The sequence below is a fragment of the Homo sapiens genome, chromosome 4 (assembly GCF_000001405.40).
Source record: "Homo sapiens chromosome 4, GRCh38.p14 Primary Assembly".
In the NCBI taxonomy this organism is placed as follows: Eukaryota; Metazoa; Chordata; class Mammalia; order Primates; family Hominidae; genus Homo; species Homo sapiens.
Window position 1 is genome coordinate 3628101 of NC_000004.12, and position 27320 is coordinate 3655420.

Consider the following 27320-nt stretch of genomic DNA (forward strand, 5'->3'; position numbering starts at 1 on the left):
CTGGAGCTGGTGCTCCCCCCGTGGGGGTCCTGATGAGAGTGAGGGATTGATTCGGCATGTCCTGATGTGAACCTACTCTCCCGGCATCTGAGCTGCAGCCAGGCCCGCCTGCAGGAGATGCTGGCCGGGCAGAAAAAGGACGCTAGTTCCTGTTTAAAAGTCAGGGATCCGGAAACCAGTGCTGCCTGGAGAATCCAACAGCAAAAACTGGAGTGATGTGGTTGCACCACTCTAAGCGGGGCTGGAAGTTGCCTCCCAAAGCTAACGTTAACCTTAACTGATGAGATTCTGACCAGCTCTGTCTGGAAGGTTCTGAGACTCGTCTCGCTGCGTCTCCACGTGCAGCTGTCACTGTGCCCCTCCCTCCCTCCCACGGTGCTGTCCCCGCCTCACCTGGGGTGGCAATGTGGGTGCGCTGTGGTGGGAGCAGCTCCACTCCCACCCCCTCCTGAGCTGCGTCGGCTGGCTGGGGTGGGGGTGTCTGGGGCTGAACACCTGCCTCCTGGGAGGATGTTGGAGGCCAACGGGCTTGGCGGGGGGTCCCTTCCCTGTGCCCCTTCCAGTTGGCAGAGCACCAGCCCCTTGTCAGAAGGGCAGCCTTCACCTTGTGACTGCCTGGGAGCTGTATGGAGTGGGCAGGAGTGTGCGCGCAGGTGTGTGTGTGAAATCGTCCCCATAAACTTCATAAAATTAACCAGAGAAGAAGGGAGGGGGAGAAACGAAAATTAACCCAGCCCGGCGCCCTCACACTCGTCCCTGGGTGGTCATGCTCTGACGGGCTGCCTCAAGCCTGTCTGCTGCCTGTGGCCCCAGAGTCACACAGGCCCGGCCACAAGTCCACTGCCTCCTCGACTGCTCTGCGGATGAGCGCTGGGAACGTGTGTTTCCCTCTGAGATGCCCCTTCAGGCCCTGCGTACCGAGGAAGCTCCTGACGCCAGCTGGCCCGTAGGACCCTGGAGGACCTGAGCTACCGAAGAATCATCAAGTCCCCACACCTTGATGATTTCAGTCCCTTACCCTGGCCAATCAGCCAACCCAGTTCTCCAGCCTCTCACCTTCCATGATCCCCTTAAAAACCCCAGCCCGGAACTCTTCAGGGACAGGGATTTGCGGCTCCCTCCCACCCCCTCACTCACTGCCCTGTGATCAATAAGCCCTTTCTCTGCTGCAAACCCTGCTGTCTCCACGTCAGGGGTGTGTTACAGCGCTGTGGGCATACACATCTGCTGGTCCTGTAACACATGTGCGTGCCTCCTCCATCGGACGGGCTCCTTGGGGCGGGCCTGGAGTGTCTGTCGGGTGCAGGAACGTGGTCTCCACTGCAGCCTCTGAGCTCATCTGGCGAGCACTGTCTACTTGATTAGGTTATTTCAGAGGCGTTTTCTCACTTGGTCCTCCCAGCTACCAGTAAGGAAGGTACTAAAAACCTCAATTACATTTATATTTGGGGAAACTGAGGCTCAGCGGGGGACATGACAGAGCAGAAGGCAGACCCCAAGACAGACCAGCAGGCAGCAGGAGAAGCAGGCTTGGGCCCTGGCTCCCTCTGAGTCCAGAGTCCCTTTCTGGGCTCTTCCCTTGGTGCCCAGTGCGGTGCTGACAACAGGTGTCAACTCATGGAATCCCCGAACCAGCCCATTTACTGCTGGGGAAACTGAGGCTTAGAGCTGCGCCTGAGCCTGAACTGAGGCTGCAAAGGCAGCGCACACAGACGCAGGGCCCTCTGCTCCAGAGCCTGGCTGTGGTGACGCCTCGAGGCATTGGCCCACCCCACAGCCCCGCTTTGCTGCTGTGGAGCTAGGGGTGTGGGAAGGGGCCTCGGGCCCGGGAGGGTGGGAGGAAGAGCCCCTGGGCAGCCTGCAGGTGAGACCCTTCTCCCGCTGCCAGCCTGCTCACCAAGCCACCCTCAGAACATCGCTCAGCACCTCTGCCCAGAAACTGGAAAGATAACTGGGTCATGGCAAAGAGTGAATTATTCCTCCGGAGAAAGTTTTAAAATGCATGAGCCCTCAATGGCAGAGAGGGAGGCAGTTATGAAGCTCAGAGGCAGTCTTGGAATTGGAGTCACAGAGTGGCTCCTTCCCTGTGCCTTCCGGGGTTCAGGGAGGAGCTGGACAGGACCCCCATCCGTAAAGGAGCCCCTATTCTGGTGGGAGAGACAGAGACCCAGACGTGAGTGCTGGCAATGTGGGGAGGTCAAAGCTATGACCTCTCAGGGCTGTAGGAGGAGAGGGAGCGCCTGGGGCCAGCCTGGAGGGGGAAAAGGAGGGTCAGGGAGCACCCACAGAAGAGGGGACAAGACAATGAGGGGCGCCTCAGGGGGAGGGGACCGTGCAGGCTGAGGCTGGGGTTTACAATTTCCTAGCGTGGTGAGACTCCTTTGAGGACCGCTGAAAGGGAGGGCACCCCAGCTAGTGCAGCAGGCACGGTGGGACCTCGGGCAGCACAGGGAGCCCCCTGACCACAGGTGGCCTGAAAGTCGGGATAGGAGAACTCCTACACATGCTTCAGGGCCCTGCTCAAGTGTCGCAAATCCCTCCCAAAGGCTGAGGATACCGCATCTGAGAAATGGGCTTCTGAGCATGTGTCAGACATGGCCCAGGAGGCATCAGCCAGGGCGGGGCTCGGGGGCTCCTAGGAGCTGCTCCTAGCTGCTGTGCCCTGCCTGCTGGTCACCCGTCCTGCACTAGGCGATAGGGTTCTGGAGGGCAGCAGGACCATGTCATAGGAGGTGTGAATGGGGCTTTGCTGCAGGCTGTGGGCGGGGACTGGGGCTCCTGGGGGCCGAGGCACATGGCAGGCAGGGGAAGAAGCTGGGGCGGGGTGCAGAGGGTGGGGAGAGAGCACTCTCCCGGCCCAGGCCTCACCCGGAAATGGGAGGTGATTTTCCAGCACAGGCAGCTTCTGGGCTTAGAGGCTGGACGTTGCCTCAGTGAGCTACGGGCAGTGTTCCTCCTGGGGTGGGGTGGGAGGGGGGTCTTATGGCCCCTGGGGACCTTGGGGCCGGGTGGGGTCTAGTGCCCTGGGAGGGTCCCAGTGTGGGAGAAGGAGGGGTCGGGGGGTGGTTTAGGCATGTAAAGGGTGGAGATGCCCCTGTAAGTCTGGAGCTGGCAGCCCGGGTGTCTCAACTGCAGCCTTTAGGGCCGCAGTGGACCAGCAAAGGCTTCACCTCCCTGGGGACCCCAGCAGAGCGCGAGGCAGGAGCCCCTGTAGGCCTTGATCCCACTTTTCTCTGGGCGGGCCCGCGGCAGCAGATGTTTGATGAGCCGGAGATGGGGAGCCTGCCTTGCATGGCCTTGCCCTGCCTGCATGGGCGCTCACCCTGCCCCACCCTCCAGGACACTCCGTGGGGCATCACTGCTGCCCCGTGAGGATCCCCCTTGCGGGGTGGAGGTGTGTGAGGAGCCGTGTCTGGGGCCTCAGAAGATGCTGGTCCCCTGCCCTGTCTACACAGCCTGGCTGTCCTGGGGGGATGGGGAGACAGGACACAGGCCACGGGTCTGTGCGGGCTGCTGTGCGTCTGGGGAGAGCCAGCACCCCGAGGGAGGAGGTGGCTGCTGGGGAGCAGGATGAAGCAGGAAGGGGTCACCCCACTGAATGGGGTGTGGGTGCAGTCCATTCGTCCTGAAGCCACACATGCCTGGTTTGTGGCCTTTGACTCATGCTGGTGATGGTCACCGTGTGTCCAGGACAGAGCCTGGAAGATTAAGAGCGTGTTTAATTTTTACCACTGGCCGGTGATGCTGGTGTTTTCAGAGGGGAACTGAGGCCTGTGGAAGGGAAATAGCTGACCGGGGGCAGAACACTGCTGGCCAGTGACAAAGGGAGGGACCTACACCGGCTGTGTGCCTCTAACACGCGTCCTCCCACGTGGCACCACCCACAGCGACCCCAGCCCCCTTGCCTTTCTTCAGCGCCTGTATGGGGCCAAGAACCCGAGACTGGGCTGGTGACTGGGCTGTGACCACAGGCCCCTCCTCTCCAGCTGGGGTCAAACAAACACAGCTCGCCCACGCAGGGTCATCTTGAAGCTGAGGATGGAACTTGAGAAAACATGTTTCTTTGTTTGGCAATGAGGTCTGCGGAGGGTTCTGAGGGTTTGGAGACATTTTCTTCCTGGAGAGGGCCCTCGTTCCTCCCAGGTATTTGACTCCTACTCCCTGCGAAGCCTCCGAGAGCCGTGCTGGGCTCTCCTTCCTCGGCCGCCTCCTCTCCAGGGCAATAGCCCTACTGAGTCCTTGCTCACCTCCAGATGACTCTTCTGTGGAACTTTCCAGTGGAGAAGGAGGAGGGAGAGGAGAAGCAGGGAGCAGCCCGGCCTTCCTCCTCTGTGCCCACTGCCCTCCTGCCATGGGCCCTGTCTGGGCACCCACTTAGGGGTCTCCAGCCTGACTGGTGGCACTGCGGCCTCCCCATGGCTCTAAGGCTGTCTGGGGTGTCCAGGAGTCACAGAGATGGAAACAGATTCACCTCAGTTCCTGCAGTGCCTGCTCCCGACACCATATGTTCAGGGTTAGACGGTGTCCCCCGTAAAGTCATGTTCATCCAGAACCTCAGAATGTGACCTTATTTGGAAATAGGCTCTTTGCCGGTGGAATTAGTTCAGATGAGATATGGGGGTAGGGTGGGCCCTGAACCTGGTGATGGGTGTCCTCACAGGAAGAGGGAAATCCAGACTCAGACACAGAGAGGAGGAGAAGGAGGCTGAGACGACAGAGTAGACAGTGGGGTGATGCGGCCACAAGCCAAGGACGCCTGGAGCCACCAGGAGTGGAAGACGCAGGAAGGGTGCTCCTGCAGAACCTTCAGAGGCAGCACGGCCCTGCCCGCACCTCCATCTGGGACGTGGGACTCCAGACTGCGAGGGAGTGGACGCCCGTTGTTGAAGCCCTGTGTGGGCACCCCTATCGCGGCAGCCCTGGGACTCCTCAACTGTGCCCTGTCACCTCTCACCCTGCTGCTGGAGAGGCTCGGTTTGCTCCTGGAAGTCGTGACTGTGAAACGTGGATGTTTTGCTGTGACGTCCATTGCTACTCTCATGCTGGGGTCCTGCTCTCTCTGTCCAGGTTCCGTCACCGCAGAGCTGGACATCAAGGCCGAGGACCTTCTCAGTGGGCAGAAGTGTGTCTCTACAAATAGTGCCAGGTCCTTTTCATTATCCTCCCTGGTCCCTCCCCTCCCCTCCCCCTTCCCCTCCCTCCCTCCTTCCCTCCCTCCCTCCTTCTCTCCCTCCCTCCTTCCATGTCTGGAGAGAACCCCGGCTTGGAGCAGGCATGCTCTGCTCTGTTACCGAGTTGTGAGGCAGATCTCGGGCCTCCTCACTCACCGTCCCACTGGCCAGGAGTTCGGAGGGCGTGGTTGGGGGCTCTCAGTTGGGGTCTCTCAGTGGGTGCCCTTGGAGGCTGCTGCCATTGAAAGCGCTCTGGGGTGAGAGGCCGGCAGTGTTTGCTAGGGGTGGGAGCTCAGCTGGGCTGCCAGAAGGTGTCCCCACATGGGAACCCCTGGATGGGGGGCTCGGATGGTGGCTGTCCCCTGCAGAGAGATGGCCCAGGAGAGTGACGTGGGCTGCCTGCTGCTCTGCACCGGCCTGGGCATGGCAAATCACTGTGCTGTGTCCACTTTCCAGTGTGGGGCCTTGAGCACTGCCAAGAGGTTTTGCCCCAGGGGCTTCCAGGAGGCCTTGCCATCGTCAGTGCATGATACCACCTCCCTGGGTCTGAGGCTGCGTCCTGGAGTGCATGGGTCCCTCCGAGGGACTAGGACCGGCAGATACTCAGCGTCCACAACTATGAACACCTGAGCAGAGGCGGGCTGGGATCCAGGCCCAGCTTGCTGGAAGCTTCTCCATGGGATCTCTCAGGATCCCCATTTTCTCCCGTACCAGTGAAGAAAACCAGCATCCACCCACCACAGAGCCCACAGCTCAGGCTCCTGGCCCAGTGGCCTGGTGATGCCTGGAGACCAGGCTTTGTCTGCTGGTCACTGCTAGAGGCCCCTGGCCACTCTCACTTGATCTCCCGCATGGAACTTCCTGCAAACTCTTGAGCGGAGGCGCAGTGGCCACCATTGCCAACATTTCAGTCAGCAGGACTGTGGGCCTGGAGAGCCCCGGGAGCTGAGGTTGCAGAATCGGGATCTCAAAGGCCCCCACCGACATCCAGTCCAGCACTTCCTGCTGGAGTCCGAGGACACTTTGAGCTCCGCCTGGAGCTGTCTGCTGGCCCCTCAGAGGGCGTGATGCGGGATGCGGCTCTGGCCACTCGCAATGTGGCTCCAGGGAGGCCGTCTCTGGGGTCTCCCCTAGAAAGATCTGTGAACAGGGTAGCCCCCCAGAGGCCCCTACCTTTCCAGTGGCTGAGATGCAAGTGGCTGGGGCCTGGATGTTGCCACTCAACCCGTGGTCCCTGCAGCAGGTGGCCCTGGCCCCAGAGCTCGCCGTGGCGCTGGAGGTGCCATCAGATTTTCAGGCCAGTCGGGTGACTCCTGACGCCCCATCTCTTCTGGGCATTACTGTCACCTGTCGCATGCCCCAGGTCCGCTCAGCATCTGCTTCCTGAGGACCTGAGCTGACCAGGGAGGGGTGTGGCTGAGGTGCTTCCCTCGTGGGCTGCTTTGCCCACCAGGGGATCTCCCCCAAGTACTCACGGGACTCTCCAGGGGACCCCCTGTAGAACCAGGACCACCCTTACCAGGCCTAGGACCCTCCAGGACTCCTCATCTGTGGGACTGGGCCTGGCTGGTCCCTATGACTGAATTGAGTGGTGAAGCCACCTTCTCCTGGCTCCAGGAATCTCATGGACCCGGGATCTTGGGTGTTCACCCCTAAATCCTCCCTAAGGCCCCTCAGGCCACCCTGCCCTGCCAGGAGCCCACCCTAAAGGTGAGTGAGAGGCCTCCAGGCAGAGGAGACAGCCAGGCAGGGCCATGAGCAGGGCCGGGGAGGAAGCTACGTGGTGAGCCCGGAAAGGCCGGCTCTTTGCTTTGGGACTCAATGTTACTGACCTCATTTTTTATGTATCCGAAGTGATCGTTTCAAAGAACAAGCCATAAAACTGGACTCTGCAGATGTTTCTCCATAAATTAAACAGGCATGTTTACCTTGGGCTGAAGCAAAACAAACTTGAGGCCCAGGGCCTCAAAACCATCATGGAGGTGGGGAGTGCTGAGAAGCAGGGAGCGAGGGAGGCAGGGCGAAGGGCGGGAGCAGCGGGAAACCACCAGGCCTCTCCCCTCACCACTCTAGGCCCGTCCGTCGGTGCAGTGACATCAGCCTTTGTAAAACACAGGGACAAACCAAACGGTTCCTCCCATCCTCAGTCAACACAGCTGACTGATCACCAAAACATGTGCGTTTCTCCCCACCAGCAAGTGGTCCTGCAGTGGACAGCAGCCGGGGGTCCTCTATTCAACTCCAACCTGATGCCGTCCACCCAGGGTGAGCCTCAGAGCCCACAGTGAGGGCTCAATCCCGCAAGACAGCCCCCGCCCCCTTCAGATGCTGGTCCCACCTGGAGTGACGTGAGAACCCACAGTGAGGACTCAGTCCCGCAAGATGGCCCCGCCCTTCAGATGCTGGTCCCACCTGGAGTGACGTGAGAGCCCACAATGAGGGCTGAGTCCTGCAAGATGGCCCCCACGTTAGAGGCTGATGGCAAGTCCCGGCATAGCCTGTGCTTCTGACCAGCTGGTTCTAAGTCAGGGTTCCCACGACCCCCGCCTTGGGTTTAATTTGCTAGAACAGCTCACAGAACTCAGGGAAACACTTTATGCATGTTTACTGGTTTATTCTAAAGAACACTGTGAAGGATAGAGATGAAGAGATGCGTAGGGTGAAGTGTTGGGGAGGGGCATGGAGCTTCCATGCCGTCCTGGGCACTCCCTCCAGGCACTTCTGTGTGTTCAGCTTTCCAGGAGCTCCCTGAGCCAGTCCTTTGGGTTTTATGGAGGCTCCATTACTCAGCCTGATTGATTGCATCATTGGCCATTGGCAATCAACTCAACCTTCAGCCCCTCCCATCTCCCCTTCCTAGCCTGATTGATTGCATTATTGGCCGTTGGCAATCAACTCAACCTTCAGCCCCTCCCATCTCCCCTTCCTAGCCTGATTGATTGCATCATTGGCCGTTGGCAATCAACTCAACCTTCAGCCCCTCCTATCTCCCCTTCCTAGCCTGATTGATTGCATCATTGGCCATTGGCAATCAACTCAACCTTCAGCCCCTCCCATCTCCCCTTCCTAGAGGTCAAGGGGTGGGGCTGGAAGTCCTAATCCTCTAATCATGCCTGGTCTTTCTGGGTGACCAGCTCCATCCTGAAGCTGTCTAGGAGACCCCAGCCCCCAGCCAGCTCATGAGCACACAGAAGACACTCTCACCACTCCAGAGAGTCAAGGGCTTTAGGAGTTGTATGCTGGGAAACAGGGACAGGGCCACATATATACTACACAGTCTCACAGTCCTCCCGATGGCTGCCTCTGTCCTGACAATGTGGTCAGTACCACCCCTTGATCTGCATCTCACTGGGGACAGTCCCCCAACCCCATCCATCTCAACACCTTCTCCACGAGCAGCTGGGCAATTGCTCTGAAATGCAAGTCTGATAATGGCCACCTCCTTGGAGTTCGTGCTCCAAGTCCCATCTCAAAGGAGGCCCACGCCACCCACCGGGCTCAATGTTGCCCCTGCTGCACCTCTTCCTCTTGCTCCTGCCCCCTGCTCCATGTTGATATCTCCCCCCATAGCATGACCACCTCCTGATGTGCTGTGTGACTCACTTGCCTGGTTTCCTGTGTGTGGGCTGTCTCCGTGGGGCAGAGACTTTTGTCTGTGTTCTTCCCTGGTGTGCCCAGCACAGTACCCTGCATCATGGGGTGGTGATGGAAGGACAGCAGTGACAGCATGTATCCGTCCAGCACTTGCCAACCCTGGGCAGGCACTGGTTGGTCTTCCAGAGGACTAAGGCGATGACCACTGTTACCAGTCACGGAGGAACATCAGATGAGAGAGGCGAGGACCTCGCCCCAGGCCACAAGGCTGAGACCTGTTCAGGACAGGCTTCAAACCCAGGCGCTGACCCTGGTCTTCGGTCTTACCCACTCTGCACTCCTGCCTCTGAAGCTGGTGAGGTGGGGGCCAGGGTTCAGCAGGTAAGCTCTCCCCAGTGTGCCTTGTTCTTTCCAGACAGGAAAGGCTTGGGATCTCATGGGTAGGAGAAGTGAAAATCACTGATTATTTGGTGAACACAAGCCAGCTGGGCACTCACTATGTGCCAGGCACAGTGTGAGGCAATGGGGCAGTCCCCATGCTCAAGGAATCCCAAGTCTGGTGGGGGAGGTCAACAGGAGGCAGACAACGGAGGCACGGTGGGGAGGGGCCGGGATGGGTGAGGCATCTAAGGCAGGCGTTGGGGCCAGGAGGCTCTGGAGGAGCTGGTGTCTGAAGGGAGACCTGAAGGAGAGGCGGAGATGCCAGGCCGCGGCGGGGTGGACAGGATTCGGACAGCAGGGGGAGGCTCAGTTCCAAGTCTTTGGTTGCAAGCAAAGAGACGCTGGCTCCAATGGACTCAATTTTAAAGAGATTTTCAGAGATTTCCAATTCCAGCCAAAATGGTATAACAGGGAGCAATAAAAAACAGCCAAAGCTCCAGAGAGAACAAATGAAACATGGCGTTCATGACATTGGCTGCAGTTCAGCCAAGGAGCGCAATTGCTAAGAGACAGGAAACCCGTTCTGCGAGCCAGCGCCTCCCCAGCTCACTGCCTGCAGAGAATGTCCAGGCTTCAATGCGGGATGCCGTGGCCAGGCCAGCAAAGGACATGAAATAGACCCGTAATACATTCCCAATGAATTCAGAAGAAGGTGGAAAAAGAGGAAACAGGAACCCAAAAAAGGGGGAAAAAACAGCAAGACGACAGTTTTAAAAGTGATCATTAATAATTAAATATAAATGTTCTAAACACTTCAATTTAAAGGCAGAGTTTGCCAGATAAAGAAAAAGAAAGAACCAAAATATGATAGGCATAAAAAACTTTAAATATGCAGGCAAAATAGGATAAACCTGAAAGAATGGAAAAAGACATACATGCAATCACTCATCAAAAGAAAGCTGGAGTGGAGATGTTACTCCCTAAGTAGACTTCAGAGTAAGAATGGCCGCAGGGATGAAGGGGTCACTTCATGACGCCATGGAGGTCAGTTCATTGAGGGACATAACATCCTCAAAGTTTATGCACCTTCTAGCAGACCTTCCAAGTCGAAACAACTACAAAGCAAGATGGAAGTTTACAATTATAATTGGAGATTTCAACACTCATCTTTCAAAAGTTGACTCAAGTAGACATAAAACTGGCAAGGATATAGAAGACTTGAACTCCATCCACCATCTTGACCTAAGTGACGTTTATGGAAACCCTACCCTGACATCAGCAGAACACTTCGTTTCAAGCACACACAGAACATTTGCCATGACAGGTCATATTTTGAGTCATAAAACAAGACTTAATAATTTAAAAGGACTTGAATCATTTGAAATATCTTCTCTGACCACAGTGGAACTAACTTACAAATCAATAGCAGCAGCAGAAAGACATCTGGAAAATCCCCAGATATTTGGAAAACAGCTAACACATTTCCACAGAACTCTTGAGTCAAAGACGAAATCAAAGGGAAAATTAGAATGTGTTTCTAACTGAACAATATATCAACATTTATGGGATGCAGCTGAAGCAGTATTTGGTGGGAGTTGTATAGCATTCAAATGCTTGTATTAGGAAAGAAGGCAGGTCTCACATCAATGAACTCAACTCCCACATCACAAAACCGGAAGAAAGAAGGGCAAATTGAACCCAATATAACTAGAAGAAACGGAATAATAAAGATAAGAGTGGAAATCAGTGAAATGGAAAACAAAAACAACAGAGAAAATGAATGAAACCCAAAGATGGTTCTTTGGAATATCAATAAAATTCATAAACCTCTAGCTGTAGTGGTCAGGAAAAAAAGAAAGAAGATGTAAAGCTTCACTATCAGGAACAAGAGACATGATACCACCACAGACTCCACAGGTGCTTCCGTGATAACAAGGGAATACTGTCAATAACCTTAGGCCAGTACATTTGACAGCTTAGATGAAATGGACAAATACGCTGAAAGACACAGACTACCAAAGCTCACGTTGGAAGAAACAGAGACCCTGAATAGCCATGCTGGTATTAGAGACATTGCATTCTTAGTTAAACACTTTTCCATAAGGCAACTTCTGGGTCCAGAGGGCTGCAATAGTGCATCATAGCAAACATCGAAGGAAGAAAGAATGCCAATTCCAGAGATACTCTTCCAGAAAATTAAAGAGGAACAAACACTTCCCAACTGTTCCCTTACTCAGTCTCTGGTGGTTCTGCCGGGCGTCGGGCTGTATGAAGGCCCAAGGGGTGAACAGATCAAAGGAAGGCACAGTGTTTGCTCTGAGTCTGCAGCCTGCCTGGGGAGTCAGGATGCTCACACGGGGCCCAGCTGCCTGGGATGTCCATGTTCAGTGCCAAATTGTGAGGTTGGGATATAAACACTGGCCCCATCCCGGCCTCTGCAATAGGTGGGGGGCATATATTATTTATTTTATTGAATTTTCACAACCACCTCGAGGTGCTGTGAAATTTTTCCCTGACTTTAAAGATGAAGAAACAGGTCCAGAGAGAGGCACAGTGACTTGCACCTTGACATGCAGCCAGAAAGCAGTGGAGCCAGGATTCCAGCCAGGTCTGTCTGACCAGCAGCACCGCTCCGGCTACTGCTGGCTGTGCAGTTAGTCCACGAGGATCTAGGGCTCCTCGGGAAGCCCATGGGAAGCCTCGCCTTGGTCTAGGATGGATGGCACAGGTGAGCCAGGGAAGGTGAGTGACCGAGTCAGAGGTAAGAACATCTGGGGTATTTTCAGAACGTTTTCCATAGGTGATGCAGCTTTGCTAAGTGCAGAGTCGGGTATAGGCTTTGGTAGCAAACGGAGTTTATCGTGGGAGGCCTGGAATGCAGGCCTCTGGGTGGTGGTTGGCGGGTCACGGGGAGCTCAGTAAGGTTCTAGAGCAGATGCTGATGTGGTTAGACTCAAAGCCTAGGACTGTGGGGGATGAGGAGTACAGGAGGGGCCGGAAGCAAGAGCTCAGCTCCTTCCGAAGGGTGCCAGTGCTCAGGGAAGAGGCTGGAAGACAGCGGGTGAGGAGTGGCTTAGGGGGCACCTGGGGGCTTGCGACTGATGGCATGGGGTGGGAGGAGGGAGGGGCTGGCAAGATGTGGCTAAGAAGTTGAGTGGGAGGGAGAAGGAGGAGGCCAGGCCCCAGGAGAGCAGGCTGTGGAGGAGCAAAAGGGCCTGGGAGGGAAGAGGGGCTCAGGCGGGATCAGGAAAGCTGAGGTTTGTGGGCACGGGGCTCCAGGTGGAGGACCCCCGGGAGATTCAGCTCTGGAAGGAGGGTGGACGGGAAGAAGGCACAGGAGAGAGACAAGATGGAAAGAGGGTGGACCAGGGACGAGCCGGGAGTCTCAAAGCCATGGGGTCAAATCAGTTAGCCTGGGGCAGACGCTAGGGCGGCCAACGCTGAGAACGTCATGTGGAGGAATGGGAGGGAAGAGGCCCTGGAAACAGCAGAGAGGGGCAGAGAGGGGGCGGTCTGGGACCGTGACGGTGACTCAGCTGCTGTTCCTGAGTCACCCACACGTGGCTCCCCCAGGGACAAAGCCGTCCGTGGGGACGAGGAGGCTGGCCAAGGGCTCCCCAAGGAGCATGGGCTGCTTAGACCTGCCTGGCTCAGAGAAGACTCAGCTGTTCTACTGTGCGATGCTCCGTCCCTTTCTTTCCTGATCTTGTTTTCCTGGAGCGAATTGCCCATCTCTCATTTGCTTATTTTCTATGTATGTCAGGTTCTCCAGTGAAACAAAACCAGGTGTGTGTGTGTCCATGTGTGTATGTGTTAGGGGGACCCACCTTCTAAGCAGTAAGAAGTCTGCATGTAACTCTGGACTCCCTTCAGACATAACCACTAATAGCCACCAGCAGACCGGAAGCCTCACCGTTAACATGCACAGTTGATGAACACATATTTTGTCTGTTACATGTATTATATTCTGTGTTCTTACAATAAAGTAAGCTGGAGAAGAGAAAATGTTAAGAAAATCAAAAAGGCCAGGCACAGTGGCTCACACCTGTAATCCCAGCACTTTGGGAGGCCGAGGCAGGTGGATGGCTTGAGCTCAGGAGTTTGAGACCACTCTGGGCAACATGGTGAAACGCCATCTCTACTAAAAATACAAAAATTGGCTGGTTGTGGTGGCATGTGCCTGCAGTCCTGGCTACTGAGGAGGCTGAGGTGGGAGGATCGTTTGAGCCTGGGAGGCGGAGGCTGCAGTGAACCAAGATTGCACCACCACACTCCAGCCTGGGTGACAGAGTGATACCTCGTCACACACACACACACAAAAAAAAAAAAAAAAAAAAAGAGCGAGAGAGAGAAAAGAAAGTCATAAGGAAGAGAAAATCTATGCCTTTGTGCTCCCGTCCTTTGTGGTGCGCGGGCTTTGCTTTGCCGGACGGGAAGTGGCCGAGCCTCGTTTATGAAAACAGTACCAGGAGAAGGCTAAACGTGGGCCCCCTGCCCAGGGCGAGGGACTCCAAGGCATCCAGATGGACTTGCTTGGCCTGAGCTTTGGGAAGTGTTCTCCTAAATGGTGCTTGGGCACCTTCCATTTTCCCTTCCATTTTTTCCCACTCTGGAACTTTCTACAAATCTTCTCCCCGGCAGCTGGGCCTCACTGTAGTGCTCGGGTCTTGCCTTTGTCTCTGCGCTTTATCTCGGTACATTTTTATTCCACTTTCTGGGACATCTTCACCTCCTCTTCCAATCTTTTTCTTTCTTGGGTTTTTAGAACTCTGAAGACGCCCAGCAAGTGGGTGGTGCGTGGAATGAAGCGGTGGCTCCCGCGTGCTTCGTGCGGGTCGGTTTCCGGGGCTCTCGCGTGCTCCGCGTTGGTCGGTTTCCGGGGCTCTCGCGTGCTCTGCGCGGGTCGGTTTCCAGGACTACCGCGTGCTCTGCGCGGGTTTCGGGGACTCTGGCGTGCTCTGCGCAGGTCGGTTTCCTGGGACTCCCGCGTGCTCTGCGTTGGTCGATTTCCGGGGCTCTCACTTGCTCCGCGTTGGTCCGTTTCCGGGGCTCTCGCTTGCTCTGCGTGGGTCGGTTTCCAGGACTCTCGCGTGCTCTGCGCGGGTGTGCGGGGCTCTCGCATGCTCTGTGTGGGTTGGTTTCCGGGACTCTCGCGTGCTCTGCGCGGGTTTCCGGGGCTCTCACGTGCTCTGTGAGTCGGTTTCCAGGACTCTCGCGTGCTCTGCGCGGGTGTGCGGGGCTCTCGCGTGCTCTGTGTGGGTTGGTTTCCAGGACTCTCGCGTGCTCTGCGCGGGTTTCCGGGGCTCTCACGTGCTCTGTGCTCTTCTCCAGGCATCTTCTTCTTGTCCCACCGTCAGGATGCCGTGTGCCTGGGAGAGAGGATTACTTTCCAGGCTGCCCCACAGAAGCGCCATTGCCACCTTCTTCTATCCTCCTCCGAAGGTTTATTTGGTCTCTGTCCTTCGGGTTGGGGGGTTTCTCCATATTAGTTTAGTTCCGGAGCTGGCTGGACCCTCTGCGGGTTCCAGGCCCGTGTTAAGGGAAGGACATCAGTGTGGGGACGGGGGGTACTGAGTGTGTCTGCATGGGGCCAAGTGCTTTCTCCAGATAAAAACCACCCTGTGCAGGCAGGCGGGACAGGTACAGTCTTTAGTCACCCCTGCCTGCCGGACGAGGCTGGAGCATTCCAGGCCTGGTTTCTCCAGATGACACAGCCAGGCCTGGCAGCCCGTCCTTCAGGCCGGGTGGTCTCCTGCTGGGACATGTGCAGGGCGGTTCCTCTGCACCCCTCCAGCAGCTGGAAGCCCATCGGCTGTCCTGGCTCTCCACTGCCCTGAGGGTGAGGGCTGAAATTCCCCACAAGCCGGAGGAGGCCCAGGGCACATGGTCTCTGGATGCGATGCCAGGTGACCTTTCTCTGCCTGGAGGCTTCTCCCCACCTCCCCCACCCCCACGCTGTCACAGGAAATGCCCTCTTCCTCCTCCTCTAGGCTCAGCAAGGATGTGGGGGTCCTGGGGCGGCCTGCCCAGCCCCTGCCCCTCCCTGTGACCTGCTCTGTTGCTGGGGCATGGGGCTGATTTGTGTATGGGGTGTGGGTTTCCCCACTGCCCTGGGAGGCCTGTCCCCTGGATGCAGTACAGGTTAATCACAACAGCTGTGGACTGAGTGAGGTGCCCGGCTGCCAGGCACTCTGGCCTTGTTTGACTCACAGACAGGCTGACACCTTGGAGGTGGGTGAACTGCTCTGGTCATACCATTCCACAGAGGGACAGACCGAGGCTCAGAGAGGTGCAGGCACTTGCTTAAGGTTGCACAGTTGGGCAGGAGCAGAGCTGAGTGGCCTACCCCCATGCCACACTCACTGCCTCTTTGCTGGGCGTTTGTCATGGGGAGGTGAGGCCTTGGCACACCTTGGGCTGGGGCGGGAACACATCCTGCCCCACCAGAGTGGGAGGCCACTCCTGGACGAAGTTCAACCCCTGGCCCTAAGTGGGATTGGGTGGACCTTGTGCAGGTGGGATGGGGGAGCCCCTCAGGGGAGAGACTCTGACATTTCTGGGAGGACACTCCAGGTGGCGGGTGCTGGGGAAGCTCGGCCGCCCGAGGAGACCTAGGGGCTTGGAGGGGTTGAATGATGGCCCTCAATGATATGAGCACATCCCCAGCCCCAGATCCTGCGGATGCGACTTTATTTGGAAAAGCCATCTCTGCAGCTGCTATAAAGTGAAGGATCTTGAGGTAAGGCCATCGTGGATGGGCCCGAAATCCAGGGACATGTTCCTTATCAGAAACGAGGGGAGACGCACACAGGGACGGAGGCCATGTGGAGACAGCGACAGAAGCTGGAAGAGGCAGGAAGAGGAAGGAGCCTCCCGCGGAGCCCCCAGGGGCAGCACCGTCAGGCCGACACCTTGATCTGGGACTTCGGCCTCCAGAACAGGGAGAGAAAACATTCCTGTTGTTTGAGTTCCCAGTTTGTGGGTCTTCGTTAAGGCAGCTCCGGGACTGGGATCGAGGGTCAGCCCAGGCTGGGTGGGATGCCCCAGGATGGGCCAGGCCAAGCTGGTGGGCATCCTGTGCCCTGTGGAGTCCGACCAGGTGCCTCTCTGTGATATTCTGGATGCTCCTCTGGGGTTGATTTCCCAGATACTCTCTCCCACCCTCTAGAGGGTCCTCGCTGAAGCTGCCTCTGTTGCTGCCACGCTTGTGCTGGGCCTGGGGGGTGCTGGGATGGAGTGGGAAGGACGGTGCAGGCTCCCCACGTCAGAACCCTTCCTTGGTTCAGAGTAAGGTCTTGAAGGGTTGGGGCAGCAGCATTTCCTGAAGCCTCAGGCAAAAAAGGTGAGCTTTCTAGGGCAGGAAACTTCCAGAAGTTTCTGAGGTGCCTCCACTGAGCAGGAGATGGATCAGGCCCTTTGGACTGTGAGCCAGAGCTTTCCTCTCCACAGAGAGTGAGGGGCTCCTGGGAACTCCATGCCCGCATTCTCCAAGGGTGTGTCCTTCCCTGGGAGTCCTGGGGTCTGTGGCAGTGGCGGGGGTGGGTAGGATGAATGAATGTGTGGCGGGTGCAGCTGGGTGTGAATGGTGGGCGCCAGTGGGAATGAATGAATGAATGTGTGGCGGGTGCGGTGGGATGAATGAATGTGTGGCAGGCGCCAGCGGGAAGGAATGAATGTGTGGCAGGCGCCAGCGGGAAGGAATGAATGTGTGATGGGCGCTGGTGGGAATGAATGAATGAATATGTGATGGGCATGGGTGGGAGTGAATGAATGTGTGGTGGGCGCGGGTGGGAGTGAATGAATGGTGGGCGCTGGTGGGAATGAACGAATGAATGTGTGGCAGGCTCGGGGGGAAGGGATGAATGTGGTGGGCGGGGGAGGGAAGGAATGGATGTGTGATGGGTGCAGGTGGAAATGAATGAATGAATGTGTGGCAGGCGTGGGTAGGAATGAATGAATGTCCACATGGGGCAGCCCTGCCCTGCCCACCTCGCCCTGGCCGAGGATCCCTGCCCTGTGCGGGGCCCTCACTTTCTGGTGTGTAAACCTGGTCAGCCTGGACCTGAGAAGCCCCGGAAGTTTCCTCAGCAACCCCTTGTCCCTGCCTGGCCTTTAAGCTCCTTGGTTTGCCGTCGGGGAGCCAGCGCCAGCCGCCTACGCCCGCCTCTCCCCGCACATAGAGAAGCACGTCCCCGCGTCCCTGTCCAGCTGGTCCCTGAGGACAGCATCAGGCGCAGCCCTTCACTCGGGTGTGGCTGAGGATGGCGCCGCCAGGAGATGACTCACCCCATCAAATGTGCGGCATTTGTCATTTTTCTCACCAGTTGCTATTTTTAAAACTCTGTCCTTTGGTTTCTGTAGTAATTTTGAGCCTCTTTTTAATAGAACTTCCAATGCTTTTGTGAATCTTACACTCGTTGAAAATGATGGGGTTAAAAATGTTTGTTAAACCCAAAACTAAATGCAGACCGACTTCCAGAGCAGACGTCAGGTGCAGGGCCTGGGGTCTGTTGGTGGTTTGCCTGCCTGCCAGGGCCGCCTGTGGTGGGAACAGGGTCACTGCCCTACGGCCAGGACAGACAACTGTGTGCACTGCCCTGGCCAGCACCCAGCGCCCTCTCCCACCCCTGCTCTCCCCAGAACCTGGGCCTGACAGGAACAGGGCGCCGACTAAGATATTTTGCAGCATGGGGCTCCACAGAGAGCCTGGGACCTAGGTTCCCACTGACAGGAGAAGGGGAATTGGGGTCTTGGAGCGAGGACAGGCTGCTTGTGCTCTGCCCCGGCACCTGGCTCGGTCTATGGTGCAGACGCCTCTGCCAGTGTGCAGGCTCTGAACCCCGTGTTCACAGCCGCCCTTCTGGAATGCCAAGGCGCTGCCTATCAGATGCCTGGCCGGCTGGAGCCCCACAGTGCTGGGACGCTGGAGTTTGGTGAGCCCCTCAGTGTACCAGGTGCCAGCCCCTTTACTTCACGATTCTCACAGCAGTCCTGTGGCAGTGACATAATTCTCATCACATCACATGATTTATTGGGGTTTCCTCAGGACAGAGGGTGGGGAGCAGGACCGGGTGGGTGAAGGGGCTGAGCAGGGAGGTGACCTCAGCTCGAGTTGCACCGTGGTCTGGTCCCCCACAGGTGCTCCGGAGTGGGAGCTGCACCCTGGGGTGGGCCTGCCCTGAGGCCAGGGGACGCCTTCTGTGCCTCCACGTGGTCAGTCACTGGCGAGGCCTTCACTGGTGGGAGGACAGCTCCCCAGGAGCAGCAGCTCCCTGTGGCCAGACTCAGCTATCTGGGGAATGGAGTGGCTGCAAGCTGTCAGACCTCACTCCCAGGAGCTGGCGACGGTGCAGCCGCCAGTGCTGGGGACCAGGTGGGGACCCCCGGTGTCTATGCCATCATGTAGACAAAATGCTGATTCAAATTTGAAAAACACGTTTTCCATGATAAAAATGCACATGCTTTGCTACGGGCTGTTTCTGTCCCCCAAGCTCAGATGTTGAAATCCTAGTCCCCAGGCTGATGATGCTAGGAGGAGGGGAGGTGAATACTCGTCCCCAGGCTGATGATACTAGGAGGAGGGGAGGTGAATCCTCATCCTCAGGCTGGTGATACTAGGAGGAGGGGAGGTGAATCCTCATCCCCAGGCTGATGATACTAGGAGGAGGGGAGGTGAATACTCGTCCCCAGGCTGGTGATGCTAGGAGGAGGGAAGGTGAATCCTCGTCCTCAGGCTGGTGATACTAGGAGGAGGGGAGGTGAATCCTCATCCCCAGGCTGGTGATACTAGGAGGAGGGGAGGTGAAACCTCATCCCCAGGCTGATGATGCTAGGACAAGGGGAGGTGATTAGGTCATGAATGGAATTAGTTTCCTTATGAAAGAGGCCAGGGAGAGACCCCTCACCCCCTCTGCCACATGCCACCCAGCAAAAAGACAGACGGCTGTCCAATGGGGAGGTGGCTTCACCAGACACCAAATCTGCAGGCACCTTAATCTTGGACTTCCAGCCTCCAGAACTGAGAGAAATAGATTCCTGTTGTTTATAAGCCACCCAGTCTATGGTATTTTGTTACAGAAAGCTGAACGGAGTGAGACATGCCCTGTAGAAAATGAAGAATCTGCAGAAAATTATAAGAAAGAAGGAAAAGCAAAATGGCACAGACCCTCCACTTAGGAATCGTTGACTCCAGCAGACATTAGCACAGCCTTTTACTCTCTCCATATGTTTCACACTCAGCTGCGTACTACGGAGGCCGTTGTGCATATGGCGACTGTAAGGCATCATTGGGAATATCATGAGGTGACATGACGTAGAGTTTGACGAATGGGGTGACAGACCCTATCTGTCACCGGGAGGCTTATTGGTCTTCTGGTGCAGAAACAAGCCCCTGACTCATGTCATTAAATGTAAGTTACGGCCACAAGCATGTGGAAAATCATCGCTCAAGCACCTTGGCAATAACAGTGGCATGGTGTGGCTTCACGAGTCTTTTTAAGGGGAAAAAGAAGTGTTTCGTTCAGTAATTGCTCCTGGATGGGGGCCCAGCCTGCAACAGCTTGGCATGTGGAAGGCTCTGGTGCCAGGTACAATGCTGAAGAATCAGATGCGGAAAGAGAGTCTCTCTGAACCGCAAAGCCAAATATTAGGTTGAACCCTATAGAATTTTAACCTACAAAATGGACAATTTAATATCGTTTCACTGATTGGTCCAAAGCACATTTTGTAGAATCAAGGAAGGAACCAAGCCCAAGAAAAGCAGGGCGGGGAAGTCATGGGGGCAGAACTCCCCACCACACCCCATCCTTCTTGCCCCTACCCTGCACCAGCGATGGCCTGATTCTTGAGTCTGGGGTCCCAGTAACTTCCCTAGTCTTGAATTCTTAGCTTTGATTCATCCCTCAGGGTTTGGGGCTCATGTTCAAGTCAGCTTTTCAAAGTTGTTCCTGAGGATAGCATTGTCTGCCCATTGATTTGAGAAGGCCCTTCTGCGACCTTCAGGAACGGGAAAGGTGGCCTGGCACCAACATGTTCCTTCCGGGCGTGGAGGCCAGGGTGCTGCTGCATCACCGGGCTCACAAACTCAGCCGGAGCTGCGTGAGGCCTGGTCCTCTGAAGTGCACTTCTTCAAGTTACTGGGAACTTGGTTTGTCCCCAAACCACCCCCGACCCCGCCCGCCTCCGCAGCTCAGGAAAGTTCAGCGCTTCCTCCTCCTCCTCACCTGCTCCCCACCCTGCCTCTCTTTCCTCTGGGGAGCACCTGCTGCCCAGCTCCCTGCCCCTTCCTGCCATGCCCGGGCTCCCTCCTTCCCCGCTTCATTCTCCGCGTCACATATTTTGTCTTCTTCAGCATCAGTTCTGTATGTTTCTGTTCCCAGGCAGTTTTGATCCACGCGTGGTTTTATTTCGTTGCCATCATTCCATTCTCCAGTTCCCGCTGTCTTTCTCATCAGCCTGGCTTGCCCATGGTGGGCATGCGACAGTTGCTAAAAATACCCTTCGGGCGGGCGGCTGGAGAAATCATTTTCATGGGGCACCCTCCCTCCCAGCCTTATGAGATGCGGTTGTGTTTGATTCGTCCTGCCGCAATTTTCCAAGGCCCCGGTTGCTGGGCTTCCTCTTCCTCATCCTCAGGTGAGAAAGGGTCCACCCACTCAGGTTTCACCCACACTCGGGATGAGTGGATGGCCCTCAGCCCAAGCGGCCGGGCCCCGGGCTGACAGTCTAACCCCTTCCTCAGACTCCGCAGGGGTGGCCTGGCGTGCACAGCTCCTGGGAGACACATTTCTGGTTTGTCTCTTTCCGGCAGCCCTGTTTCCCGACCCACTGAATGGATGAAGTGTCAGACAAAACGCCTGCTGTATACCCAGTGTGAACAGGGCCGTGGTCCAGGGCAGGATGCTGCCTTCTGAATGCAGGGCTCACCTCCAGCTCAACTGTCCCCACTCCCGGTGGGTTTTGAAGACTGATGAGTGGGAAGAGAAGGCAGTGTCAGTGCATAGGAGGCAGACCCCGTCTTCTGGTGGGGAAAAAAGCATTTTTCTATTTTGGGACGTGAGAGAGGAGATGAAGCACCTCCTTCCCTGTGTTCATCCTGGCGGGCTGGCTTCATCTCTCTACCTCACTGCGTTTGGAATCACTTTGTAGGCGACACACACTCATACCTGTCCTAGCTTCCAATGCTCTGTGAGCCTTGTTCTCTTATAAGCCCTGAGATGGGGAACCGTGGACCAGGGGCTGTTTTAAAGCAACAGTCCCACGATTGTTCCAATTTTTCCCACACATGAGACTCTGCACCTCTCATTTAAAATGTCAGTTTTTGAGGGGCGGAAGTGACGCCTCACATTTTCTCTGCACCCCCGTCAAGTCTGAAATCGTGCCGGATGCAGAGGAGACACTCAGCTCAGAGTGGCTGCTCTGGTTTAGGGCTGAGGGCTCAGAAGCTCCTGGGTTTAGAGTCAGCAGAGGAATCTGTGCTGTGAGAAGTCGACGCATCTCGGTCAGCGTGGGTGGCACAGTGCACGCCTGATCGCGTGTTCTTTTGTTTTAAAATTCTACCGCACTGTCATAAAACACTTCCTGCATCGAGGCGGAGCTCACCTCCATCAGGCTGCAGTTTCCTCATCTGTAAAATGGGAGTAATATACCCACTGTTATGGGCGTTTTTGGGGGGATCTTGAGGACTGAGTCAGGTGATGCTGGGGAATGGAGTGCCCAGGGCCTGGCCCCTCGGGAGCTGGGGTTTGTTCATTTGTTTCCTTTGTTAGGTGGGAAGGCAGCGTGGACCTGCCTGGCTCCCAGGGGCACCTGCTTTCCAAGGCGTGGATGCTCTGGGATGAGGCCTCCTCCCACTCTGCCCATTCTGTCTGTGACACTGGCCCTCTGGGTTTGCTTTCAGGTCCCCAGATGTGCAGCTTCTGTCTCCTCTGGGCTTTTGGATGTGGTTTTTGCCAGAGTGGCCCCTTACTCCGACCTGGGACTGGCACTCACTCCTTCCTGGGAGCCCGCCCCGCTCTTGGTTCCTCTTCTGTGCCCTCCCAGGACACCCTCACTCTTTGCTGCTCTCTCTCCCCTCTGGGCATCCTAATTGCCACTTTCCAGGCTGCCTCTCCCCTCAGACCATAAGTCTCGAAAGCAGGGACAGCGTCTCTCATTCACAGTACGGGCGGGTGACGATGGATGCATTCTTAAAAATGTAATTGATAACATGACATAAAACTTAGCATTTTAACCATTTCACATGCACAGTTCGGTGTCACTAAGCACATTCACAATGCTGCGCAGCCCTCAGTACCCTCCACCCGTGGAGCCTTTCTTCTCAGACTGAAGCCCTGTCCCCTTTAAACGCCAACCGCTCCCCTTCCCGCAGCCCCTGGCACCTGCCCTTCTCTCTGTCTCTATGAGTTTGACTCTAGGGACCTCGTACGATAGACTCCTACAGGATTTGTCCTTTTGTGACCGGCTTATTCCACTGAGCACAACGCCCTCAAGGTGCTCCCTGTCATGGTGTGCCGGCCGTTCCTTCCATTTTAAGGTTGAATACTGTAACAAATATATTTCACATAGAGCAAATGTTTGCACGTAGCTCCTCTGAGATGGGGTCCCGTGGTTTCTGTTTGGACCTTTCCAGGGACAAGGAACTCCCACATGGGGTGGCCACTTCCTTACGGGGCAGGTCTGATAGCTAGACTGTTACTTATTTGTACAGAGCTGGTCCTGGCTCTGCACTCCGGCATCCCTGCGTGCAGACAGGGAGAGGTCTGGCATCTGCTGCTGTATGGCCGGCGTCTCTCACATGGCCTCAGACCCCAGGAGCTCTGGAAGTGGCCTCTTTCTGCCTCCAAGATGGATGGAAGACGTGGCTCGGCCCGGCCTCACCTTCTGACCTGTCCCCTCTGCCAGCCCACCCAACCCAAATGCTCTGAAGGAACTGTACTCGGTAGCCCTCCATGGGGAGCCGCCCAGCACATTGTGGAGGGGCCTGGAGTGCTGGGGCTGCCTTTCCTGGCAGTGCCAGCAGCCAGCAGTTTTTTTTTATCTCAAAGCAGAGGTGTGTGGTGTTTTCCTGCTGCCCACCTTTCCAGGTGGAGAAAGAAATGGGTCCTGGCTCCAGGAAGGGGGGAAACCATGTCCCTGTACCGTGCCTCAGTTTCCCCATCTGTACACTGTGGAATGGCAGTGCGTGGGCAGGGCAGGCAGAGGGGCCGCCCCACAGTGCCAGCCTGTGTGCACCAGCTCTGTTGTCACGGCTGCCCAGCGCCCGGAGCTTAGTGAGGTTAGAGCTTTTCATCGTTCTCCTTCCCCTACAAACCTACAAACTCAAAAGTTAATATAGTAGCGTGTCTTTGCTCTTTTAAACCAATGACGTAAGTCACTTCACCAGTTTGCTTTACACCGGTTAATCAATTACTGAACAGTTGCAGTATCCTCCTCTCTTTTGCTGTTAGCTGGTGCTAACTGAAGTAAAAGCGAGTGTCATCTCTCCGGCCCTCACCGCTGCCTTCACCACCATTTACCCACGCGGATGTTGAGCTTCCCGCCAGGGCTCAGGGAGCTCACAGTGGGAAGCAGAGGGCTTGAGAAGGGGTGGCTCTGCCTGACACTCCCCGGCTCCCAGCTGGGCCCACTTCCAGGTAGTGGGTTGGGGCAGGACCCGCAGGGCACAGTGCTTCCCCTGCCCTTCCCCACGGGGTTGGAGGCTCTGGAGGCAGCACCCTCCCTGGGGAATCCTGGGGATTCAGGAACATCCCGAAGGTGCTCATTTTCATCCGTGGTTAAATGCTGAGTTTGTCTTGGCTGCTGGGTTGAGCCCTGGAGCCACATCCTGGCCGGAGCAGCTCTCCCGTCTATAGGTCCTGGCCCACCTTGCCCCTTGTGCTTCTGCACTGGCGCCCCTTGTGCTTCTGCACTGGCACCCCTTGAGAGGGCAGCTTGGGCAAAAGAAAGGCTTGCTTTTGAGTAAATTGGTGGCAGACCCCTCTCAGCGAACTTCAGCCCACTTGCTTTTGGAAAATGACTCTGCGTGTTATTATGTTTTGCAAGACATCAAAGGATGTGGAAAATCCATTATAAATACCAGGGTATGTTGCTCGCCCGAAGGGCCAGGGTTACTGAGGTGGGGGCGGGGGTGGAGCCTTGGGTTTCCATTCAGTTCCTTCTGCTCTCCTTCCCCTCCGTGGCCCCAAGCAGGGACCTCTCCTCCCTGGGGCTTGACCCAGTGGCTGGAGGGAGGGAGGGGCCTGTCTGAATTCACCCTCTGCACTGCTGCACCTGGAGCTGCTGCTGCGCCCAGGGTTCTTGGGTGCACCGGTAAAGGCGAGCAGCTGGTGGGTCAGAGGGAGGAGGCAAAGGGAAATGAAATGCTCCAAGCCCTCTCAAGGCAGAGATTGGCATCTTCCAGCATTGAAGAGGCACTGTTGGGCGGGTGAGGCCTTCGGGAGGAAACAAACGCGGTACGCCAGGGAGTGGGGGCTGTCGGCTGCCGGGAACAAGGCTGCATGGTGTGTGCGTGTGTGTGCATGTGTGCGTGTGTGTGCATGTGTGTGCTTGTACGCGTGTGCGTGTGTGCATGTGTGTGCTTATGTGCATGTGCGTGTGTGCACTTGTGTGCTTGTGCTTGAGTGCGTGTGCACTCACTGCAGGTCATGGGGGCAGACCTGGGAGGGGGAGTCTGGGCTCCAGGGCCAGCTCTGTGACTTTTAGTCAACAGCTCCTCCTCTTTAAGCCTCAGTTTCCCCTCTGTGCACAGAGGCCCTGGGCTGCAGCCCTGAGCACTGCCCTCTCCCGTGGGCTCCCCAGGTGTGTAGAACAGTTTGCAGAGTGCTGGCCTGGGTCCCAGGGCCCGTCTGTCTCCCGCTTGTTGGTAAGAATCCCTGAAGAATTCTGTGCAGAATCCCTCGTTTCCTCCAGCAGGTATCTGACAGGCACCACAACCTGAGCATGTGTAGATGGACGCTGGTTTCTTCTGCTCTCTGCCTCATCTCAGGTCCGGCCCTGCCACCTGTCCAGGGGCTTAGCCCAGAACCCCAGAATCTGCTTTGATGCCCCCGGGTCTGCAGGCAGACTTTGCTCTCGAAGGCACCTGAGTCTCACCTCCTTGGCCGTCAGCTTGGCACAAGTTACCCTGGCTGCTCCCCAGACTGTTCCCATGGCCTGGCCCTGGCCGGGGACTCCCACTCTGCTTGCGGTCCTGAAGACAGCCAGAGAGGCCTTTGAGAGTGGAAGGCAGACACCATATGCCACCGCCCCCAGCTGACACTCATAGGGGCTGCCCCTCATGCTCTGGATAAAACTCCGACTGGCTACTGTGCCTCTTTGGGTCTCCCCGGCCCAGGCCTGGCCAGGGGTTCCAGCCTTCACCAGGGGAAGGAGCATCTGTGAGTCCAGGGAGTGTGCCTGGCCCAATGCCTCTGCCCAGGGCCTTTGTGCCTGCCGTCCCCTCCCCAATTCCACGCCTCCTGTTGCCCTCCGCAGAGGCACCTCTCCCGTGACCTCCAAGCACACCACCCACTAAATCTCCGCCCTTCCTCTGCCTGCCTGCCCTCCCAGCACAGCCACTCTGTCCGCTCAGGCTCCTGAGCTGCTTACTTGTTCACCTGTCTTCTGCTGGAGACCAGGGAGCCCTCCCCTCGCTGGCTGTGGGGTCTGGGAACAAAGCAGTCTTAATAAATACTTCTCGAAAGAATGGAGTATGTGGTTGAATAAATAAGTCCCAGACAGGAGTTCCTTCTAAAATGGTCTAGTTCAGGCTTCTCAGTTGCAGGTGGGGAAACTGAGGCCCTGAGCGGGCGGAGGTGGAGGGAAGTTGAGTGGCCCTGCCTGCATCTCCCACCAGCGCTACCTCGCATCCTCCTACAGCATGCGAGCAGGGTTATTACTCCCATTTTCTCAGGAGGAAACCGAGGCCCCAGCATGGCATCTGTCCTCGGCCACCTCTGGCAGCTCCAAGGTGCTCTTTGCTGCCCATAGCGGTGAGCAGGTCGGCCGCAGGCAATTCCAGGCCACTGGGAGGGGTGGACCTGGCCAGACCCAGCCTCCAGGGAAAATGAAGGTTCCAGCAGGTCCCGGCAGGTTCTGGCAGGTTCTGCAGTCCCTCCTTGACTGAGGCTCCTCTGTCCACGTGCCGGTCCTGGCTGCCCACCTGTGCAGAACCTGGCACGGCCAAGACTTCGTCCTCTGCGGTTCTGGAACATCTGCTTCCCGTCTGGTCATTTCTGCGGCTCTGGGCAGTTCTCTGGTGCCCTGAGAGCTCTTCCCTGGCTAAGGTACCGGTAAACAGTCAGGGGATCCTGAAAGCTCAGGCCCCTCCCCAGGCCAGGTCCCGGGAGGAGAGGCCCCACCCGCGTGGCCGCAGCGTCTGGGAAGGCAGCGTGAAAGCATGTGCACCGCTAGGCTCGGGAGCCCATTGCTCCCCAAGAGCTTTGCCCCTGGAGACCCTGATTTCAGCCCACAAGAAGAGTGTGGGGCGTGGTGCATGGGTGCTGGGCATGAAGCCTGCCCCTGCCCCGCGTTTGTATTCGGTGGTGACCGTGGGTGGTTGCTCACTGCTTCTGGCCCTGGGTCTTGAGGTCTGTGGAGTAGGGTAATGCCACACCCCACGAGGGTCCTGTGAGGACACAGGCCTGCCCCACCCCTTCCTCTCTGTGACCCCACCACTCACCTAAGTCTCACCCTCACTTTGGCCCCTCTGACATATGCGGCACTGGCGGCATGGTCTTCCTCAAACCCAAGTCTGATGACCCTTCCATTCCAGGATGGTGGGGGCAGGATGGCTCCATCTACCGGGGGACACTTGCCCACCAATAGCTGCCCTGCTTCCTTCTCTGTGATGGGCACCCAGGGCCAGGGCCCAAGTGACCCGTTCTTCTGTGGAGATGCTGGGTGGCACGTGATCCCTTCTGCTGGCTCTGGTGTCTTCATGACCAGCTTCTCTGAGTCGGGAGACACTCAGCCTTTCACAATGTGCCACGGCAGCCGGTGCCTGGGGCAACTGGACTTGTGGCCCCTCAGAGTCTGGCTGCCCTGCGGTTGCTGGGGCTCTTCTTGTCCTCCTTGAACCCTCACCTGTCCACCCTGTCACCAAGTCTGTCCCCACTACCTCCTGAAGACAGAAGGGTCCAAATGGATCCCTTCCCCCAGCTGGATAAGGAGCCCGGTTCTGGGCAGCACCGGAAG

At 56.8% G+C, this 27320-nt stretch overlaps 2 long non-coding RNA genes across 6 annotated transcripts, besides 3 other annotated features; one reads left to right on the forward strand and one right to left on the reverse strand.

Annotated features, from left to right (window-relative positions):
- Positions 3072–4071: an enhancer, noted in NCBI's record as "H3K4me1 hESC enhancer chr4:3632899-3633898 (GRCh37/hg19 assembly coordinates)". NCBI's record gives its function as "activates a minimal SCP1, AML or CMV promoter by ChIP-STARR-seq in primed H9 embryonic stem cells {active_cell/tissue: H9 hESC(primed)}" and the evidence as "EXISTENCE:reporter gene assay evidence [ECO:0000049][PMID:30033119]".
- Positions 4936–7258, reverse strand: LOC112268461 (uncharacterized). Its single transcript, XR_002959775.2, has 4 exons — positions 6691–7258; positions 6345–6567; positions 5328–5533; positions 4936–5130 (listed from the first exon to the last, which is right to left on the reverse strand). It is a non-coding gene; the product is annotated as an uncharacterized LOC112268461 (long non-coding RNA).
- Positions 12710–12893: a silencer, noted in NCBI's record as "fragment chr4:3642537-3642720 (GRCh37/hg19 assembly coordinates)". NCBI's record gives its function as "represses an EF-1alpha promoter that drives an FKBP-Casp9 reporter gene in an ReSE screen in phorbol 12-myristate 13-acetate-treated (for megakaryocytic differentiation) K562 erythroleukemia cells {active_cell/tissue: K562(+PMA)}" and the evidence as "EXISTENCE:reporter gene assay evidence [ECO:0000049][PMID:32094911]".
- Positions 14950–15481: an enhancer, noted in NCBI's record as "H3K4me1 hESC enhancer chr4:3644777-3645308 (GRCh37/hg19 assembly coordinates)". NCBI's record gives its function as "activates a minimal SCP1, AML or CMV promoter by ChIP-STARR-seq in primed H9 embryonic stem cells {active_cell/tissue: H9 hESC(primed)}" and the evidence as "EXISTENCE:reporter gene assay evidence [ECO:0000049][PMID:30033119]".
- LOC105374357 (uncharacterized) lies at positions 17005–25830 on the forward strand. Of its 5 annotated transcripts, none has more exons than XR_925067.3 (3): positions 17005–20780; positions 20956–25008; positions 25132–25830. It is a non-coding gene; the product is annotated as an uncharacterized LOC105374357 (long non-coding RNA). The 5 variants fall into 5 exon arrangements; XR_925065.3 differs by having other exon boundaries at positions 20956–23421; positions 23594–25830; XR_925066.3 differs by having other exon boundaries at positions 17005–20292; positions 20525–20780; positions 20956–25830.
- Positions 25831–27320: the final 1490 nt, after the last annotated feature.